The sequence below is a fragment of the Homo sapiens genome, chromosome 5 (genome assembly GCF_000001405.40).
Source record: "Homo sapiens chromosome 5, GRCh38.p14 Primary Assembly".
NCBI lineage: Eukaryota > Metazoa > Chordata > Mammalia > Primates > Hominidae > Homo > Homo sapiens.
This window is the reverse complement of record NC_000005.10, coordinates 107,426,975-107,447,262: the sequence shown is the minus strand read 5'-3', so window position 1 is coordinate 107,447,262 and position 20,288 is coordinate 107,426,975. Positions and strand designations below refer to the sequence as shown.

At 38.6% G+C, this 20,288-nt stretch overlaps 1 protein-coding gene across 3 annotated transcripts in view; it reads left to right on the top strand.

The window, feature by feature from the left end:
- EFNA5 (ephrin A5) overlaps nt 1-20,288 on the top strand; it is a 294,044-nt gene that overhangs the window by 223,675 nt on the left and 50,081 nt on the right. For all 3 annotated transcript variants that reach the window (NM_001410773.1, NM_001962.3, XM_011543250.4), the window contains exon 2: nt 19,754-20,046. In NM_001410773.1, the coding sequence (NP_001397702.1) occupies nt 19,754-20,046 (293 nt within the window). The remainder of the gene's footprint in view (nt 1-19,753; nt 20,047-20,288) is intronic.

The window sequence follows — 20,288 nt, the reverse complement described above, 5'->3', positions numbered from 1 at the left end:
ATGCAGTGTGAAGACACTTAGTCTTTTGAGCTGACCTCAGCAGAATTGCAAAGTCTCAGTGTTCCTCTGTTGTCACCCTGTACCTCTGTCATTCAGTCTGATTCCCCTTTCCTGAGGCCCCTTTCTCATAAAAACTTACCCACTGTGTTCACCAGTCTCTCAGGGGTCTTAACTCTGCTGGGTGACAGGTATTAATGGGTCAGAGAGATGAAAATATGTTAATGCGTTAGCTGGCAAGTAAGATTTTCCTCCCAAGCAAAGTAACATTTTACACATATTTAAGGATTGACATTCACTTTTGGGAAGGCAGTTTTGTTTAAAGATGGCCTTTGTGTCCCAGAATTACCTCACAGAGGCAACTGCCCACCCTTCCTTTGTGTATTTATATATCCTGCATGCTTCCAGAAGGTGACTGAGATTTCTTTGTGAGTGCATAGACAGTCCCCTTGAGAAAGTCAGTGTCTTCTTCCCCATTTTCTGAAGTTTTTATTTTTATTTTTTTAAGTTTTTTATTTCTAAAGTTTTTTGTCACCCAGGCTGGAGTGCAGTGGCGTGATCTTGGCTCACTGCAACCTCTGCCTCCTGGGTTCAAGCGATTCTCCTGCCTCAGCCTCCTGAGTAGCTGGGACTACAGGCGCCCGCCACCATGCCCAGCTAATTTTTTGTATTTTTAGTAGAGACAGGGATTCACCGTGTTAGCCAGGATGGTCTGGTCTCGATCTCCTGATCTCGTGATCTGCCTGCCTCAGCCTCCCAAAGTGCTGGGATTACAGGTGTAAGCCACCAGGTCCTGCCTTTCTAAAGTTTTAGAAATCACATTTCCTTTCTTCATAAACAAAAATTACACTCTACCTACTAAAGATATGTAATAATGACTGTTGAAATTTTTATTTTGCAGGATCTTTGAGATTCTCAGGATGCTTTTCAAATAATTAAAATTCATTTTAGTGGTAAAAATAATACCCTAAAAGTTCCATAAATAGTATAATTGAATATATTCCTCTTACTTTGTTTTAATACATACTGAGCACTTAATCATTTGTCAGGCACTGTACAAAGCACTGTACTTTTAGTCATCATTTATTTGTTCATTTAGTTTATACATTTAATCCTAACATGTCCTAGGAGTGAGGTGTTATGTTCTGATGTTACAGGTGAGGAACCTGAGATGTGGAGAGGTCATGGAATGTGCCAAGATTACACAGTTAGTAGCAGCAGAGCCCAGATTCGAAGATAGGCAGACAACTGTGTATTCCTTTCTCTTAACCTCTTTCCTGAACTGTCTGCCACAACCAATAAAATAGTTGTTTATTCTCAGTTATCAGATGGATGTCTATAAAGTCTGAAAAATGAAGATAAAGTTGAAACATCTTTAATCAACTCTGATTTACTCGATAACTACCAGACATTAACAAACTTTATGTACCATATGTGCTGAAAAAGCCAGGTGCCACAAGAAGGATTAGAGGTGAAATTTTCTTTCCATTTTGATTTCCACTTTTTATTAGTGACACCTCCCAAGTGGTTCAGAGGACGCCTATTAGTGTTCGTGGACATCTTGTGCTATTTGCAGCCATCCTTGGAGAGGTCTGGGTGGCTGAACTCCACACCTGCTAGGTGTCCCTCTGCCTCTGTCGAACATCCCTGCCTGAACAACTCTAGCATCCTCAATAAGCTGAGAAGCCTCCCTTTTCGTGACTTGTGAGCATCTTGCGATTTCTCCATTGTCAAGTCTCTGAGGCCATAAATCACTTGGAGGATGAGAACAGATCAGATTCTCACTGGACTTTTACATTTTCCCTCTTCCTTTTTGGACATAGTGAAGTGAAAACCAGAAGGAATAGTTATAAACCCTTCAATAGAGCACATATGTGCTCTGTACAAAGTGCATTAAAATACTCTTTGGGGTTTAAAGTTATATCTCAAATGGCAATCTTTGAGGCCAGGTGTGGTGGCTCACACCTGTAATCCCAGCACTTTGGGAGGCCCAGCCAGGCAGATCACTTGTGGTCAGGAGTTCAAGACCAGCCTGACCAACATGGCAAAACCCTGTATCTACTAAAAATATAAAAATTAGCCGAGTGTGACGGTGGATGCCTGTAATCCAAGCTACTCGGGAGGCTGAGGCACAAAAATCACTTGAACTCAGGAGGTGGAGGTTGCAGTGAGCCGAAATCACACCACTGCACTGCAGCCTGGTTGACAGAGTGAGACTCTATCTCCAAAAAACTTTTTTTAAATGGCAATCTTTATACTCTTGTCCTATGATTATCAGCTTTTATGTCACTTAATATTAAATAAGTTATTTTATCATTATTCCTGGAACTAAAATCAGATTTTGACCCCATAAACGGTAAGCATTTAAACTAATTAATATGTATATATATTCCCAATGAAGCAGGAAATCAAGCATTCTTTGAGTCTGGGAGCAAATTCATAGGAAACCATGTCTGAAAATTATTCTCCTAGGGCTGTGTCCTTTTGCCAGTTTTCATAGTAAAGAAAATTTTACTTCTAAGTTTGACTTACACAAATGGATTTGGAAAAGGAGGGCCATTCCTGTCCTACATGTAGCAGCTGTGCTTACTGGTTTTATAAACTGTAATCTCAAATTGCGCTTCTATTTTAATTTCGGCATGCCTGAAGCACAAGATTCTTTTCAAATGTTCAGCCATGACTATTTAAAATTGAAAAGAGAAGTTCAACCATTAAGTATTCTCATCTTCTCTGAGATTTTCTTTCTGATGCAATGATGTGAAATACTTTTTCATGTTGCCCATAATTTCTACTTACACTGTCTTGCTTATGCAAACTTTTAAATAGGCTATAGATGCAAGAGCATGTAAAAATCTGTACAAATTTTGTCTGCCTTTGCATTATTGTTAAGTCAGCGAGGATTCTAATGGAGTACAGGGGATGAGACAACAAGAATCCAATCAATAGATGCAAAAGGCAAATGAACTTGCATAAATTAGCACTCTAATAGGAAAAGATAAATGCATGTTCTCTTTCATCTTTCAAGCAATACACACTATTGAAAGAGGTCTAACAGATATCACCCTGATTTATCTTTAGCTTTTTTCAGGGGTGCAGAAATGAGAAAATGCAAGTATATTGAGCATTGCGGAAACTGTTCTGAACCACTTACATCAGATCAGTGCATCAAATATAGTATGTAGCACTCAGCATGCTGTGTCCACATGGATGATGTTATCATCCACGTTCCTCGTAGATAATGTGAATACTCACCAAAGATCTCTAGAAGAATAAGGATTGTTCCATTACCAGAGTTTGTCTTGGAGGACCTAGTCTCTGATCTTGACATTCAGGCATTTCAAGTGTACTTTACATTTACACCATATCTTTTTGAAATTTATTTTATTACATTTTACTTTAAGTTCTGGGATACATGTGCTGAACGTGCAGGTTTGTTACATACGTATACATGTGCCATGGTAGTTTGCTGCACCTATCAACCTGATATCTAGGTTTTAAGCACTGCATGCATTAGGTACTTTTCCTAATGCTCTCCCTCCCCTTTTCACCCAACCCCCGACAGTCCCCAGTGTGTAGTGTTCCCCTCCCTGTGTCCATGTGTTCTCATTGTTCAATTCCCACTTATGAGTAAGAACATGTGGCATTTACACCATATCTACTGCAGAAATGGCAAGAAGAATTTTTCAGATGTTGAAAGTTTAAGCGCCTAGAAAAAGGGCAGTCACAGATCATCTGCCACTACAGCACTGTACAGTAGTTTCATTAACTGTCTCCAGTTCAACACAAGAAATGCTTGGGGAATGATACTCTGTTCCCCCTTGCTCTAATTATGCTGTTCTTGAGGGGGTATAGTGGGTCTGGCATGCATGTCAGAGGACAGCAAGTGCCTGGCACTGCAGCTTATAGTCATCATTTAATTAGCAACACCCAAGAAATTTCTCTTTTGCCTGTTCTTTCCAACTCTTTGTTTACTGGTTCTATCTATGGAAAAGGAGCTGGGTATATAAGGAACTGCCAAGTCATCTTCATTGCCTTTACTAAAAGGCAGAAACCTTAGCTATGGATTTGCCATCTTATTTGGGCAGCCTCCTGCCCAGCACAGCATCCTAATCATTTGTGTTGCTGGTCGATTTAATATAGGCCAATAAGCAATGCCCCTAATGGTTTCATAATGGTACTTTTCCAAGAGCTCATCTACAGACAGGGAGAAACCTGTACCCCAGGGAAAATTTGGATATCTTCTTCCATGATATGAAGAGAATACTCTGGTTTGAGGTAGGTACTTTTTAAGACATATTTATAATTCACAGGGTTTTTTTTTTTTTTTTTTTTTTTTAGTACCTGGGGAACTTTCGCTCCTCGGGAAGTTTTCTAGAAATTCTGTCTTGGGGGGAAATACCATCTGTATTGTTGGAAGAGAAAGAAGAAGTAATTTGTCAGCGTTGTTTTGATCCCAATCCAGAAAACCAAAAAGAGAAAAAAAAAAGTCTTCTGAGTATCAGCATTTCTTCTTTTTCTTTGCTTATTTTAAAAATAGAGCTTTCCTTAGCTCGCTTCCATTATGGTTAACTGTAATCAGTACTTTATGGTTATATTATATAGCTTTGTTTCATTAGGGCAATAAAATGATATTGAACAATAGCAATATAATGCAGGGAAACAGTTTGTAATTCAGCTGGAAATTGCTAATGCAATAGACAGTTGATAATACAATCAGCTCAACTTTCCTAGGAAAACATAAGCTACATTTTCTATACATTTCTCTCAAATCTTCTTACAGGGCAGGGTTGAGGGGATTGCTTTGAACTACACTGGAAAGCTGGATGCCCTTGAAAAGAGAATTTCTTTATGTACTGAATTTTGAATGACATCTATAGGTCCTGGGAAAGAACTACTATTTTAGAATGAAATTCTCCCCTGGAGATTTTCAAAAAAAGAAACTAGGTAGTTAAGAGTTCTAAAAGGAAACAGCTGGATAAGATGATGGCTCAAACTTTATTTTACTAGTATATCTCTCTATAGTCTTGATTCCGAAGTAGGGTTCTTGTGAAATTATTAAGACTAAGTATCAATGGGAAAAAAAAAGGCCATCTCTTTGCAAGCTGATGTCATGCATGCTGTGTATATTTATATAATTACTGTAGGTTAAGACTAGTGAACATCAGTAGTGTCTAGGATACAAAGCCAGGTTATTGGTCTAGAATACAAAGGCAAATAACCTGGTGTTTTCAAGGAGTGGTGAGTTAGGATTTTGTTGCTCTCAACTCTAGTAAGATGGTTGTAGCTGTTGTTGAGTCAAAACCTTTATCAAAAGTTTTATGTAGGAGGATTTCTTAGATTCGAAGAAAATCAGGAGTGATATGTCTAATTTTGAGTTGTCCAGTAAGTTTTTTCATAATTAGAATCAACACAATTTTCCACATGTGATACAAATTTTTAAATGTCCTAATTGTCAAAGAAATGCAGTATTTCCTGTTTCCATATACTTGGAAACATCTCTGACATCTTTAGAGATATTAGTTATATTCAGAAGGCACCACCCTTATTTAAAAAATAAACTAAATTTAATGTTCTACCAGAAAGTGCTATGCATATGTAAGTATATTTCTTCAGCTTTTATGCCAGAAATTCATATTTAAACTAAAACAGAAAAACAATAGGCACCTCCCACAGCTCCTAATTTTCATTTCCTCTAGTGAGTTGGAATAATTTGTAACTTCTTAGGATTCAGAACTAAACTGAAGTATATGTAAGCTTCAGATCATGTCCCAGTTATATGGTGGGAAATGCAATTCCAGCACAGCTTCACTGCCTACACAAGGAAGGAAAAGGTGTTTCTGCAGATAGGACGCTATCCTTCCTTGCTCCAGCCCTGAATATTAGTGCATGCTTCAGGGCAGGTTTAACAGCACCAAGAGTGGGTATACTCTTTATATTAGCCTGGTAGATTGTGCTTCTAATCTGCTCACCTGGCCAGCACATGTCATGTTATTTTCCCTAATCACGTTTATAGAACCATAGTAACCAGTACTTTCAGTGACCATGACTTAGGGTTTTTAATTAATGACTGGATTTAAAAACATCCTTGAGTTGGTTTTGGCTGTTGTGAATCTTTCTCAGATACAGAGTGTCCTGAGCCAGAAATCTGAGATATACCAAGGTGAAATCCCTGTTTACCCTATGCCTTTACTTCTCAGAGAGAGGGTTGAAAGGAATACTTTATATTTGTAGAACTGAAAAAAAAAAAAAATCCAAGTTTTTTTTTTAGCATGCAAAATGGGGTATGATTTTGATAAATATTTGGCATGTACAAGGTAGATACCCAGATGTTGAATTAAAACATCAACAAGTAAAATTATCCTATTCTGTAAATAAATCAATTGACGTGCTATATTAGAGTAACATTTACCATCACATAGCATACAGATTCTGTGCTTAGTCCCAGGCTCATTTAATATCTCCCATAGGTTTTGTAAATCCTGTGTTGTTTTTTGACCCAGCTCATCAACACTGAGTTTGTGACCAAAAACAGCTCACATTCTCTCTTTCTGTCTGCCTTGAACAGTGTGAGCAGCAATAAAATGTTAATGTGTACGTCGTGAAACTTTGGGATCTGGGATTGCACTACTGAGTACTGAAGAAAGTAAGTTGTGACCCTGTCTTCTCAAAGCTGACAGTGCTGAGTTTTCATGGGTATGGAGTGCCCATTATCATCTGCTTATTTCATCGTCTTTGTGTCTTGACATTAACCTTGCCTCAGAAACCTTGCAGTCCACACAAGTGGCTCATTCAGAGCTTCTGGCAATACCAAAAATTCTGAAAGTTCAATAGGAAGATCATGTGCACTCCCTTTGAACTATAGTTCTTTTCCAAGGTAGACATTTTGAAAGTAGAGTTTATTAAGATGATAGGTGGAAAAAGAAAAACAACTATATTCTCTGTCATTGAGATAGACAAGCATTTAAGTAGGTAGAAATATTGTAGTACTTGAGAATCCTCTAAAGTGCTTAGATTTATTTCTGAGAAATAAATGGTGAATTGTTTATTTCTTTCTCCCGCTTATGTTTCCTTGGGATAGAGCAATTAGTTTCTCATTTTTTATGATTGCATTTTTCTTGCATATATCTTTCTGTGGTCCAGGCTATAAAAGTAAATAGAGGATCCAGCTGTATGAATGGATATCCTTTTAATGAGTGTGGGGAGGAAATAATAATACTAAGTAGTGCAAAACCATTTTTATGTGATGAACTGAAGTACCTTTGTTCCCCAGTCTAAACCACAGGCCACCAATAAATGTGTGCATGAAATGACAGTTTCATGTATTCTGGTGTTAACAAAGTACCTCGTGGTTTCTTTTGCCCCTAGAATGCACTTAATACAATTGTTGAAGGGTGGTGGCATATTCTGTTTTAATTTCCAGGGTCAAGGAAAGGTAAAATGGAATATGTGACTTTTCTGTAACACCCTTCATTCTATCTCTGGGCAAAAGCCTTTGCTAAAACAGCGAGATAACACAGTTGCCAGGTGATAATACAGTCGTTTTTGTAGTGCCATGAGTTAATTTCAGAGTTGAAACTATGCTTACTTAGAAAAATAGTGTGCCTTCTCGCCTCAGAGCAGCCATTTGCTCAGAGCAGCAAGTAGATGCTGAGTCTCTCCCATGTGCAGGGTATCATGAGAAGTGCTGGTAGTGGCATAAGTCTGCCATCTTCCTTCCCCCTTGCTCCCTTCCTTTCTGGCCATTTTTACTTAGCTGTTCTTTATTGATGTTTATATACATCTGAAGTCACTGAGAGCAATGTAATTCAAAACCACCCTATCCCCCACTGTATCCCTAATTTAATGTTAAACTGCTCATATTAGTCTGCTCAGACTTCCATAACAAACTACCATAGACCCTGTGGCTTAAACAACAGAGATTTATTTTCTCACAGTTTTGGAGGCTAGAAGTCCCAGACCAAGGTCTAGCAGAAGTTGATTTCCGGTGGGGGGCTCTCTTGGGGCAGCCATCTTCTCCCTGAGTCCTCACATGGCAGAAGGAGAATGAGCTCTCTGCTATTCATATAAGGACACTAATCCTGTTGGATTAGGGCCCCACCCTTGTGACTTCATTTAACCTTAATTACTTCCAAAAAAGACCCTGTCTCCAAATGCAATCACATTGTGGGTTGGGGCTTAAACATGAATTGGAGTGGGAGAGACAGACATTCAGTCTGTAACACTGCTAAAATAATAAGAGAAAAAAAATCCTAAAATAGAGAGCCATACCATGACATAAATGTAGCAGTTACTAAACTTTTAACCTGATGCTCTATGCTTCCTCCACCTCACAGTGGCTCATGCTAACACATTCTGATGATGGTTGCAGGGAGGACCTCAAAAGTTCCAGGATAAAGCCAAGTGAAGAATATAAAATACCTGTTTGCCTTCCCACCTTCCAACAGTGGCCTGGAGCAGTTAGTACAGGGATGGAAGGAGAGATTTCTAACCCCCAGATATGCCAGGGATTCTGGCCTTGTAAAGCCCAAGGACAATGCATTGGTTCTAGTCTTTCTCTCCAAAGATCCGAATCTATTTGGTAGCTTTGTGGTGACTCTGGTGGGAGCCTGAGAACGCTGGTTTCCTCTCCTGATCCCAGCTTGAAGAACAGAGACTGGATGTCAGGTAGGTGGAGAACAGTCTGTATTCCCCATGACTCCTGCTAACTGGAGCAAACCCCTGGACATATCTCAGTCTAGCTGAGGCCTGACCTGAGCAGGAGGGAGCCCCAAAACCAAAGGAGTCTCTGGATTTCCAGCTCATGGTTGCTGGGACACAACTGAGAGCAAAACAGTGGTTGGCAGGGGCTGAAAAGGGGTCTTGGATGTTTCTGCCAATGTGATAGGCGATTGCAGGATGTTTGTGAAGCAGCCTGATGAACCCTCTCAAATAGAGGCACCTAATGCTGTTCAGCTGTGTAATTGGGATGGCAATGGGCCAATGAGAGGCAGAAGTTTGTGCTTAACCTTTTGTGAGTCTTGTTTCAGGAGGCTGTGTGGGGGTAGGGGGTAGAAGCATTACAAATAATAAGCTTCTCCGCCTGATTTGTAATGAATTAGTAATAAATGTCCTAGCACTGTACAAAAGTCTGACGATTACAGAGCAGCTTTGGCTAAGTGCACGGGACCACATCTTATTTTGATCAGCTGTAGCATAGCAAAGACGTGTAATTATCATAATCTAACAATTAGCCTGGCATCACTTTCCAGTGTTTAATTACCCCGATAAATGGTAATTGAATAGAGGACTTAATGACAAGAGAGAAACTTTCATTCTGCCTTAGGTGCTTAAGTTGTCTACTTGGTTAGGCATAATTTTCTAGCATTGCTTGAACAACAGTCCTGGTTATCATTTTCCTTTTTTGCAGCCTGCCATTATTTTGTTTCCTGATCTTGACCTTTGTTTATAATATTTAGCTTCTCTCAAAATTTTATACTGGGACCCAGAACACAGGAAGAGATTATTGGATGCTTTACACAGTTCTTCTGTTTTTAAGCATCACTTCTCATACCCTTCAGCTACATTCCTCTTCATCGAACATCTATGTAGTCGCTACTATGTGCAAACATGGTGCTAAGTGTTGGGGATACAGAGACAAGTAAACACCATTACTATTTTCAAGGAGATCTATACGTAAAAAATAAATCTATATAAAACTAGTATAGTAATAATTACAGCAATTTGCATTCAGCAAAGTCCCAGTTTTCTTCTAAATCTATACATTGACTTTGGATGAATTCAGTACTTTTTATGACTACGATCACCACCTCGTTTCTAATGACTGCAGAGCTCTTTTCTTTGTATTAGCCTCATTCCCAGTCCCAGATTTGTATCCAACTGCTCACAAGGTCCTAACTGGCCAAATAGAAGTAATTACCTTGCACGTGCCAATTTCCATAGAAACAGCCACAATTTCTGCTTTATTGTCTACAGTTTTGTATGAAAACATTATTATTATTATCATGCCCTAGCATTACCAAATATATGCTTCCCCTTGTCTGATGAAGATAAAACATAAAAGAAAGCCATAAAACCCATGTATTTTCTTTCTTCCAATTTATTTCTTGTTTGTTTAATAAATTAACAGATTAATTATCAGATATCTCAATTTTTTAAAAGTGTGGGCTAAATTTCAGATTTAGATTGTAATGATTCCAGTAAGTTATCATCAACCCATAATACAAACATTTAGTTCACTCTTTGCACACCAAGTACTTAAGAACTATTAAATCACTCTTTTCCAAAAATCTCTCCTTGAGTTGGTCAATAAAAAGGAGATTTACTTATTAACCCTTTAGTTATTATTATTATTTTTGAAACTGTGAATAGCCTGAAATTCTGCTGGGTAACTCTCCTCTCTTTTGTATCTAGAAGATACAAAAGGGCTACATGGAAGTAAGCAGTTTGACAGGTGGCTTATTTGTTTGATTGACGCCCACATCCCCTGATCAGAGTCAGTTTGTTTAATCCTGTTCTCCTTGGACAGTGGCTAGATAGCCTATCTGATGGTTGCCTGTGTCTCCTTTTGCTGGGTCTGTGTGTATGTGGCAGGTGCTCTGCTTCATGTGCTTGAAGTTGGGGCTGGGGGGTGTAAAACTCTACTGGCTTAAGACCTGAAGTACAGCTTTGATAGGAAGCTCCTGGCCAGCAGGAGTAGAGGAAAAGCGTGTTTTGCATTGTGGGAGTGACGTCTGTTAGGACTATACTGATTGCCAGACATTAACTATTTCTTTAAAATCTCCTTTTGAAAGCCATTTGAAGTGATCTGTGATGTGTTAGGTCTTTAGAACTCTGCCTGCTTAATTCTTTGGCTGACTTGGCCCTGTTGACGTTGACACACTCTTACTCCATGCCCGAGGCCTCTTTGGGGGCTTAGAAGCAATTAGACTGTCACCCAAAGCTTCCAGCCCCTTCCTGAGGGAAAGTCTTGTTTAGGCTCTGCCAATTTAATGCTTTCTTTCCTTTGAAACTCCTCCATCAAGCTAATAAAACAAACTCCAAATGAGTTACAACACTGGAGGAGAGAACATTATGTGGGCCTGGGCCTTTTATATGAAACAGGTGCAATTTCTGGGAGATAGCAGTTTTAAAAAGTCATTCAGACTGACATGACTTGTAGTAGAAAAGCAACAGGCAAAAGCTATGTGAATTTTATCTATCTATCTGATATGAGTAATTAGTATTGTGGGATTTTTAAATGTTTTGCTTTTAAAGTGCACACACATACATACAAGAAAAAAAGTGACAGGGTAGTATAATAAACTGCTGATGAATTCTAAATATTTGGCCAAGAAAATGATGTCTTCTTATCATCATCAACAGTTACTGAACTTAAGGTAAAACTCTTATGCTGCAGAATTTTTAATTATCAAAACATGCACGTGCAAGAACTCTGTTGGAACTTTCATTAATGTATAAACACAGCACCAACTCCAGGTTCCAAACATTTTGTCAGTATATATTGTAGCATACTGCATTTCTGCTGCCAAATAAGTAGGAAAAATCTTTGAAATTTATCCTTGAATACTTTTTTAACTTGTGAACCTTCACTTCTCTAGGAATATTCATTGATTTTAGCATGTTCTAAAGCCTGGAAGAGCTGGATTGGTCTGAAATTATGTGTTTTGGTCATCATATAAGGTCTCATTCAGCCTTCACACCTGGTGGGGTAACAGTGAAACTATCCATGAGTCCTCTTCTCTCAGAGCTGAACATTGAGGTTGATTACCAATACATCTGAAAGATAGACATGTTTCAGTCCATGAGAGAGAAGAGAAATTTAAAATTAACAAAACAAATATTTGTTCAGCCCTTAGTGATGCTAGTATTATTTATCTACCCTGTTTGATGTGCTGTTTGTATTCGATGCTTTAACCTCCACAGAAAAGCAAAAAAAAAAAAAAAAAAAAAAGAGCATCTTCAGATTTAGAATAGGAAAGCCATAAGGCTTGCATTCTGTGCTGAAAGGAATAACAGAAGGATGCAAGAAGCAGCATGTTATACAACAGAGACTGCTGTCCTGCCCATCTCCTCACAAAAACATATTTATAAACCAAACCCATATCTGTTGCAGGACCCATTAGCCCCTTTTGGGACAAATGAAAAATTATACTAGTTAAAAACAGACATCTTGTTCTGAAATTAGCCTTTAAATCAGTAATAGTAGAATTTGAAGACAGTGCTCCCAAGATATATTCACTCTAGAATTAGTTTAAAATTTTGGAGGAACCCTAAGCTGATAAATTTGCTTAATCTTTGACCATAAATCATATCCTTCTTTTACATTTCAATTTCAGAATGTAATACATTAGGTTGCCTTGTAATTAAAGAAGTGACATTGGATTTCTGTTCAAGTAGGAATATTAAAACAATCACCTCTTTGACAGATTAAAATATATTTAAAATGTAATAATCAACTATCCAGTTCATGAGAAATAACATTTTCATTATTGAATTCTTTAAAACATAATGTGAAGGGGGATGAAAGTATCTCACAGCTTCCTAACCTCTAATAACACTGTCTCCTTTCAGTAATGCTGTTTCTATATTTATGGAGTGAAGAAACTTCACTCAGGAGCTTCTTGATAAAATACCTCCATACATATTTCCCTGGAAGCAGGTTCTCTGCTGTGCCAGCAACATATGCTAAAGGCCAATTTAGAACATTTTAAATATGCACCATACCCTTCCTTTTCCAGCTACTAAAATGAAATGCATTTTGGCTTTAGCAAATGAGGATGGAATGAAAGGAGGAAGACTGCAGGGCAAAGTGGCTAAAGATGAACTCAGAGAAGGAGGATTATGGTGCTGCTCCTCTGCAGCCTGAAGCCCAGGGCACTGCCTGAGTGTCCTTTCAATGTGGCCTCCCCAGCTGTCAATATCCACAACACAGGAGTGTGGGGTCCAGGAGGAAGTCAGGTCGGCACCATGAAAATCATAAGGAAGAAAAGCGAGGTGGTATCTACTTACCTTAGTAAAGAGGAACCAAGAGACAGGGTCAGAGTACGTTGAGAACTTACACTTGAGACTAGTAAAGGACCTAGACTATTCAAGTAGTAGATGTACCTTTTTCAGCCACCCAAGTTTGAAAATGAAATACTTAGGAGGACAAAGCTCTTACAGCTTAGGCTACCTAATGTCATCAAACAATGCTTTGCTTCCTCAGTAGAAAGTTGAGGGCACACTGGTGAGATCTAAATGAAAAGTTAGTTGTCAACTGTTACCTCACTTCTCTTGTCTTTATTTCATCTGAATTCTGAGACTCAAGTCATGACTTACTTCTTGCAGATAGGTTCAGTACAGGGAGCAATTTTTTTTTTTTTTTTTGAGACAGGGTCTTGCTCTGTTGCCCAGGCTGGAGTGCAGTGGCACAATCTCGGTTCACTACAACCTCTGCCTCTGAGGCTCAAGTGATCCTCCTGCCTCAGCCTTCTGAGTAGCTGGGACTACAGGCACACACTACTATGCCTGGCTAATTTTTTTAAAAAAATGTTTTATAGAGATGGAGTCTCACTATATTGCCCAGGCTGGCTCAAACTCCTGGGCTCAAGTGATCCTCCCACTTCAGCTTCCCAAAGTCCTAGGATTACAGGCATCAGCCACCATGCTCAGCAAGGGAGAGATATTAACAGTGGCTTTAAATTGAAAATTAAAATTTATTCAGCATATAATGGAATGTCATCAGGTAAACACTGAGAAACAAACACACTTTCCAGAAGCACACTTTTTCAGCTCTAATCCCAGCTTCAGTTGTTACTTTTGCTGTCAATAGCCCTAGATACGTGCTTTTTATCCAATGCTCCAGGTGGCCTCTGGTTTATCAAGAACTACCATAAAGTACATAATTCATTTTTGGTATTTGAGATGATTGCAAAGGACTAGTTGCCATGCTGAATTTTATTTTCCTAAATTAACTAAAATTACCCTTTTATAATATATATGACATTGATTCTGAACCAGTCTACCACCAAATTTTCATAAATGTGTACAATGTATTCTTGCCATAATAGAGTACATATAATATGAAGTTTATCCTTGAACAATGTGGGAGGTTAAGGTCACTGGCCCTGCATGTAGTTGAAAATCCAGGTATAACTTTTGACTCCTGAAAACCTTAGCTACTAATAGCCTACAATTGCTTGGAAGCCTTGCCATTAACATAAACAGTCAATGCATATTTTCTATGTTAAACATATATACTATATTCTTATAATCAAGTAAGCTCAAGAAAAGAAAATGTTATTAATAAAATCATAAGGAAGAGAAAATATATTTACTCTTTTTAAGTGGAAGTTGATAATCCTAAAGGTCTTCATCCTTGTCTTCACATTGAGTAGACTGAGGATGAGGAGGGATTGGTCTTGCTGTCTCAGGGGTGGCACAGGTAGAAGCAAGTCCACGTGTAAGTGGATCCATGCAGTTCAAACCCGTGTTGCTCAAGGGTCAACTATTTATGTTGCACAGAACATTGACCTAAGTGGCCATGCAGCCTTCTGGGGAGCAGTGACCATCTTTTTATGCATATGAGATGTTTCTTGACTCTTGAGACTTTTACACTGTGAAAACAGGCAGGGCCGTAATTGTTTGACTCAAACACAATTGCTTTTCTAAGTATGGTAACTGAGCATGCTTTTAGATTGTGAAGCACTGTGATAATTTAGTAGAGATTGTATTGTAATTATTGCTGGCTTGGTGTACAGCCAGAAATTCTTATAGTTAAAATTATGTGGTGATCTCAGATAGAGGTATAGAACTGCTGATACAATGGATGGAATTAAGGATAAGACATAAAGAGAAGACATTTACAAGAAATTTTCCAAGAAATTTACAAATATGTTAAAGCAATGGCTGTGTTACCCATGGCATTTGTAAATATTGGCATGCAGAATCAGTCTTCCTAGATGTCAGTTTCCTCTTTTAATATGAGCTAGAGCTCATGAAAGCTGCTTCCTGATGGAAAAAAGATTCCTTTATGTGAATGGCTGCTGAGCCTAACAACATGTTATTCTGTGAAAGGATGAGTCAGGAGCTAACCCTGCAATCTGAGGCTTATTCTAAATGTTGACACACCCCTCAGCTTTCCAGTTTAGGAGTTTGGGACAAACCTCATGGAGGAGACAGTAGGGCTGGGACACCTTGTTGCAATGCTCTGCTAGAAGACCAGTGTAAATATAAAGGTAACCCAACTCTTAAGAGGGTCGTTACTACAGCTGGTGAAGCTTTGGAACCATTGTGGTTAGGAGGACAAGAATATGCTTCAGAACCATGTAAGACTTGAGTTCAGATCCTAACTCTGCTATTTATTAGCTATAAAAAGTTGGACAATGCCCTCTCTGAATGTCCTCGACTCATTGGTAAAGTGAAACTAATTAAAACTACAAAATAGGGTTGTTTCGAGGATTTCATATGATAACATATGTAAAGCCCATAGCAGATCCTGGATGCAGCAAATATTTGTTGCATCCGTGAATGAAGGAGAGAACTGAAACCTCATCAAGAATGAAAATGGGTCCCTCTGGAGGAATATAGTGCTGACCTAAGGACTTGGCTCTAGCAATTTAATCTCTCACAAAATGGAAAAGTGAAGAGCTTTGGTTCTGAGGTCAGAGTGGGTTTGAATTCTGCCTCCCCCTTTTCTTTACTAGTTGTGTAATATTGGGCACGTTGCTTGACTTCTTAATCTCAATTTCCTCATCTTTAAATGGGTGTAGTAATAATAGTGGCTATTCCGTGGCATCGTAATAGAGATTAAGTTGAGATAATGAATGTAACATAATAAGCACTCTAATATTAGCCATACTTATGTGCTCCTTCACAGTATGGCCAGAAAAGAATGGTTCCATTCTACTTTATACCCAGAGAACATGATTTGATATATTAAGGCAAAAACCGCAATTACTTTTGCACCAACCTAATAGGATTAGCATATGTGATCCTAAACTTTTCTTTGGATTATACTTGAGTACGTTATATAGCTGCCTTTTATGAATTCCAGTTTGTCATTGTTTTTATATTTATATTGTCCACCCTTTGAAATGTACATTACTAAACTATATGAATTTAAGATCTGAAACAAAAGTGTAAATTGATTCTGTAGTGAATCATCATCTTTTCTTCGTCGTATGGCTGCTAAAAGGGTAGAAATACTAATTGTGGCCGGGCGCGGTGGCTCACGCCTGTAATCCCAGCACTTCGGGAGGCCGAGCTGGGCAGATCACGAGGTCAGGAGATTGAGACCATTCTGGCCAACATGGTGAAACCCTGTCTCTACTAAAAATACAAAAATCAACTGGGTGTGGTGGCGCATGCCTGTATCCCTGCTACTTGGGAGGCTGAGGCAGGGGAATTGCTTGAATTAAGGAGGCGGAGGTTGCAGTGAGCCGAGATCACACCACTGCACTCCAGCCTGGTAACAGAGTGAAACTCCATCTCAAAAAAAAAAAAAAAAAAAAAGAAAGAAAGAAATAATAATTGCTGGGGCAATCGCATGTTTGAAATAGGTACCACCGTAATTCACTTAACACTCCATGCAAAATAAAATGTCATCAGAAGGGATAGCTGGTCAACACAAAGTAGAATGGGTCTTCAGCCTCACAGTTTGCTTTAGTAAAAATTTAGCAACATTAACAGGGGTAAGAGTTAGGAAAGGAGAGCAAACTTCTAGGCATGAAGAAACTGACATTTTTTTTTCAGTTGTGGAATAAAGGAATTACAGAATAAAGGAGTAACAGAATGGGTCCAGACAATGGCAGTTTTAATTTTTACTTTCACTTTGAGCAGTGCCAAATGCTAGTGGAAGCTAAAATGAGTGACACTTAGGGAAAGAAAAAACTTCCCCCTTGAATCTCTTTAAAATCTATAATAATAATATAATAATATAAAGTGCATCTGGGCATTGCCTTCTGCTGTTCTTGTCTGGCTCTTATCCAAAACTGTCAGGCTACTCTGAGTGCTGATGCTTCATATCCCAGCACCCTTTTATCTGAACTTTGCAGTGTCTTTTCTCTGTACTTTGGCAGTGATGTTAGCTTGATGTTCAAAAATCTTTTAAAAGCAACACAGGCTTTCCTTGCATCTTGACAAATCATTGTCTGCTAGTAATGAAGAAAAAGTAAACTCGTGGTCATTGCAAATATATAAATACTTCCAAGTGTTTTCGGTTTTTAAAAAAATGGTTATGTAGTTTGGGATCCTCTAGCTGAAAAGTGAATATTCTGAGAATTTGTCCTTATTTCTCTTGTGTAAATCAGCATGCTGCTTTTCAAGAGCAAGGGTCAAGTGGAGTTGCTATGGATCATTTGACATTTAAGGACAGAATTTAACATTTCTATATGATTTTCCTTTTGGATTTTTAAAAGGGGAAATATACATATTATTTTTATCTCTGTTGTATGTTCTTACTGCTATTATTTTAAAATTAATATTTTATTTACTTATTTTAATATGCTTTGGTATATCCTGATGATGGTAACAGTGGTTTACATCTACACAGTTTGTTCCATACATTTCCTTATCTAAGGCTTGAAGCAGCCACCAGAGGCCAGCAAGGCAGGTTCTCATGATTAGCCCAACTTACATATGAGGAAACTGAGGCTCAGAATGATTTATGACTCTCCCACTCAACCAACAGCAGATCCAGTTCTTAAATCTAGGTCTACTTAGTCAAAATGAATGGTGTCTCTACTTTTTCACAATGTTGTCTCTCGGAAGAGTATCTTGGCTTGTCAATGAATATTTAGCATCCAGAGTGAAGGTGGTCTATTTCTTTCTTTTTTCTTTTGTGAGACCGAGTCTCACTCTGTCACCCAGGCTGGAGTGCAGTGGCGTGATCTCAGCTCACTGCAACCTCCGCCTTCCAGGTTCGTGCCATTCTTGTGCCTCAGCCTTCCGAGTAGCTGGGATTACAGGCATATGCCACCATGCCTGGGTAATATTTTTTGTATTTTTAGTAGAGACAAGGTTTCGCCATGTTGGCCAGATTGGTCTCAAACTCCTGGACTCAAGTGATCCGCCTGCCCCAGCCTCCCAAAGTGCTGGGATTACAGGCGTGAGCCACTGTACCCGGCTAGAAGGTGGTATATTTCTACTGGGGTGGACATTGGTCACAAACTGTCAGAGGTCGTTATTATGTTTATGTTCGGGTGCTGCATTTTATGGGGAATATACTGGGAAACTGGAGACTATGAGAAGGGTCAAGAATCTAGAATGATGAGGAGCCTGGGAACTATACTAGAAAGAACCAAGGGAATCAAGATTTTCAAATGTCTGCAGAAAGGAAGATATAGAGAGATATAGCTGACATCTTGAAATGTTTTATGGACTCCCTTGCAGAAGAGGAATTTGATTTGTTTTTTGTAATTCCAGGCAGCAGAAGTAGGATCACTGGGTAGAAATTACACAGAAGCGGATATGCTGAATATAAGAAGAAACTTTCCAACATCTAGAGATGTCCAAAAATGGAATAAACTATCTCACTGCCACTGGGAAGTGTTCACACTCAGACTGTCCAGCTTGGAGATTATATGACTTTATGAGCATTGTATTTCAGCAGTAACACAATTTTATGATGAAATTTCTGAGGGCTCAGAGAAGAATTTCCTCACCAGCTAAAAACAAAGGAGTTTTGTACGCTTTTCCACCATGATTTTAGACTGAGAAAGTTGTATGCATAACAGTTCCTGTTTCACACATCGTTGTGTCTTGGGAAATACTGTTCGACTGATGGGGAAAGACACATTAGTTAAAACAGATAAGCAAAACTTTTGTGAGATGAGAATTGAAGCAGACAGTGTGGTGTTTGTGGTGGGAGGTGTGTGTATTCAGGTGTGTACATTTTTAACTAGGATGAATTAGCCGTGGTTTTGGCTATTTTCATTTGGCTTGTTACTTTCATTACTCACCAGCCCAGCTCTAGAACATGACCTGTTGAGGGATTAAAAGAAATGAGGGGAAGAGCCATTTGATTTAGATGGGTTGTTTTCTCAGTATGGAAAAGATGCTGCATCAAAATCGAGATGCACTAAAATAAGTTTCTGACGTAGCAGATCTAAGAAAAGCACTGAACTGGGATCCGAAGTCTCCATACTAGGTTTGGCTCAATCACTCACTGCTTCATCTTTATGTCTTTTTATTTTTCTCTAAAATGGAAGTGTTTTAGGAATTGTCTTTCTAACTGTAAAATGTTATGATTCTAATTCTCCCAATTTTATGGCTGTAATTCTCATTTGCATAGAAAGTGGAAAATGGCCTCAACTATAACAAAAAACAATTCGGTCATTTATTTGTTCTTTAATTTCCTCATTCATTTATTCAAAAATATTTATCAAGTGAAACACTATTATAAAAATATAAAAACTTTGTTTTAATATATGATTTTTAAGAATGAAAGGAAACATGGAAAACAGCACACTAGTACCTCTATAGAGTTCCACAGTTTGAAAGAGTGATATTTAATATAATATTTAAAATGAAAGCAAAGCACTTAGTTTGTAGGATATTTTGAAACAAATATAATGGAATCTCACTGTAAAATGGCTTTTTGTGGCTTAGATTGGGAACTGCAACATTTCAAACCATGCCCCAAATCATAATGGCATTCAGTAAGAACTTACTATACTAGATGCTTTAGCTCCAAAATTATTGAATGGCTTAACCACTGATTCCAAGCAGAAAGCCCTTTCTCTATGAATTATCACATTTTTTTTTCTTTTTCTAACAGATTCCAGAGGGGTGACTACCATATTGATGTCTGTATCAATGACTACCTGGATGTTTTCTGCCCTCACTATGAGGACTCCGTCCCAGAAGATAAGACTGAGCGCTATGTCCTCTACATGGTGAACTTTGATGGCTACAGTGCCTGCGACCACACTTCCAAAGGGTTCAAGAGATGGGAATGTAACCGGCCTCACTCTCCAAATGGACCGCTGAAGTTCTCTGAAAAATTCCAGCTCTTCACTCCCTTTTCTCTAGGATTTGAATTCAGGCCAGGCCGAGAATATTTCTACATCTGTGAGTATATAGAGATTTATCGTGTTGTAGGGCAGCTGCAAGAACCCAGACTAATTTTTTACCCATGTTTCAGAGAATTGCAGAGAGCTGGACTCTGCATTACAGATATCTCCTTGTAAATGCGTACATCAGGATCCCTAGATACATTAGCTGGGAATTGAGAGCACAAATTAGATTAAAGACAGAGCGCGTCTCCCCCTATGAAATTACGTGTCAGCCTGTTCACTGAACCACTGCTGACT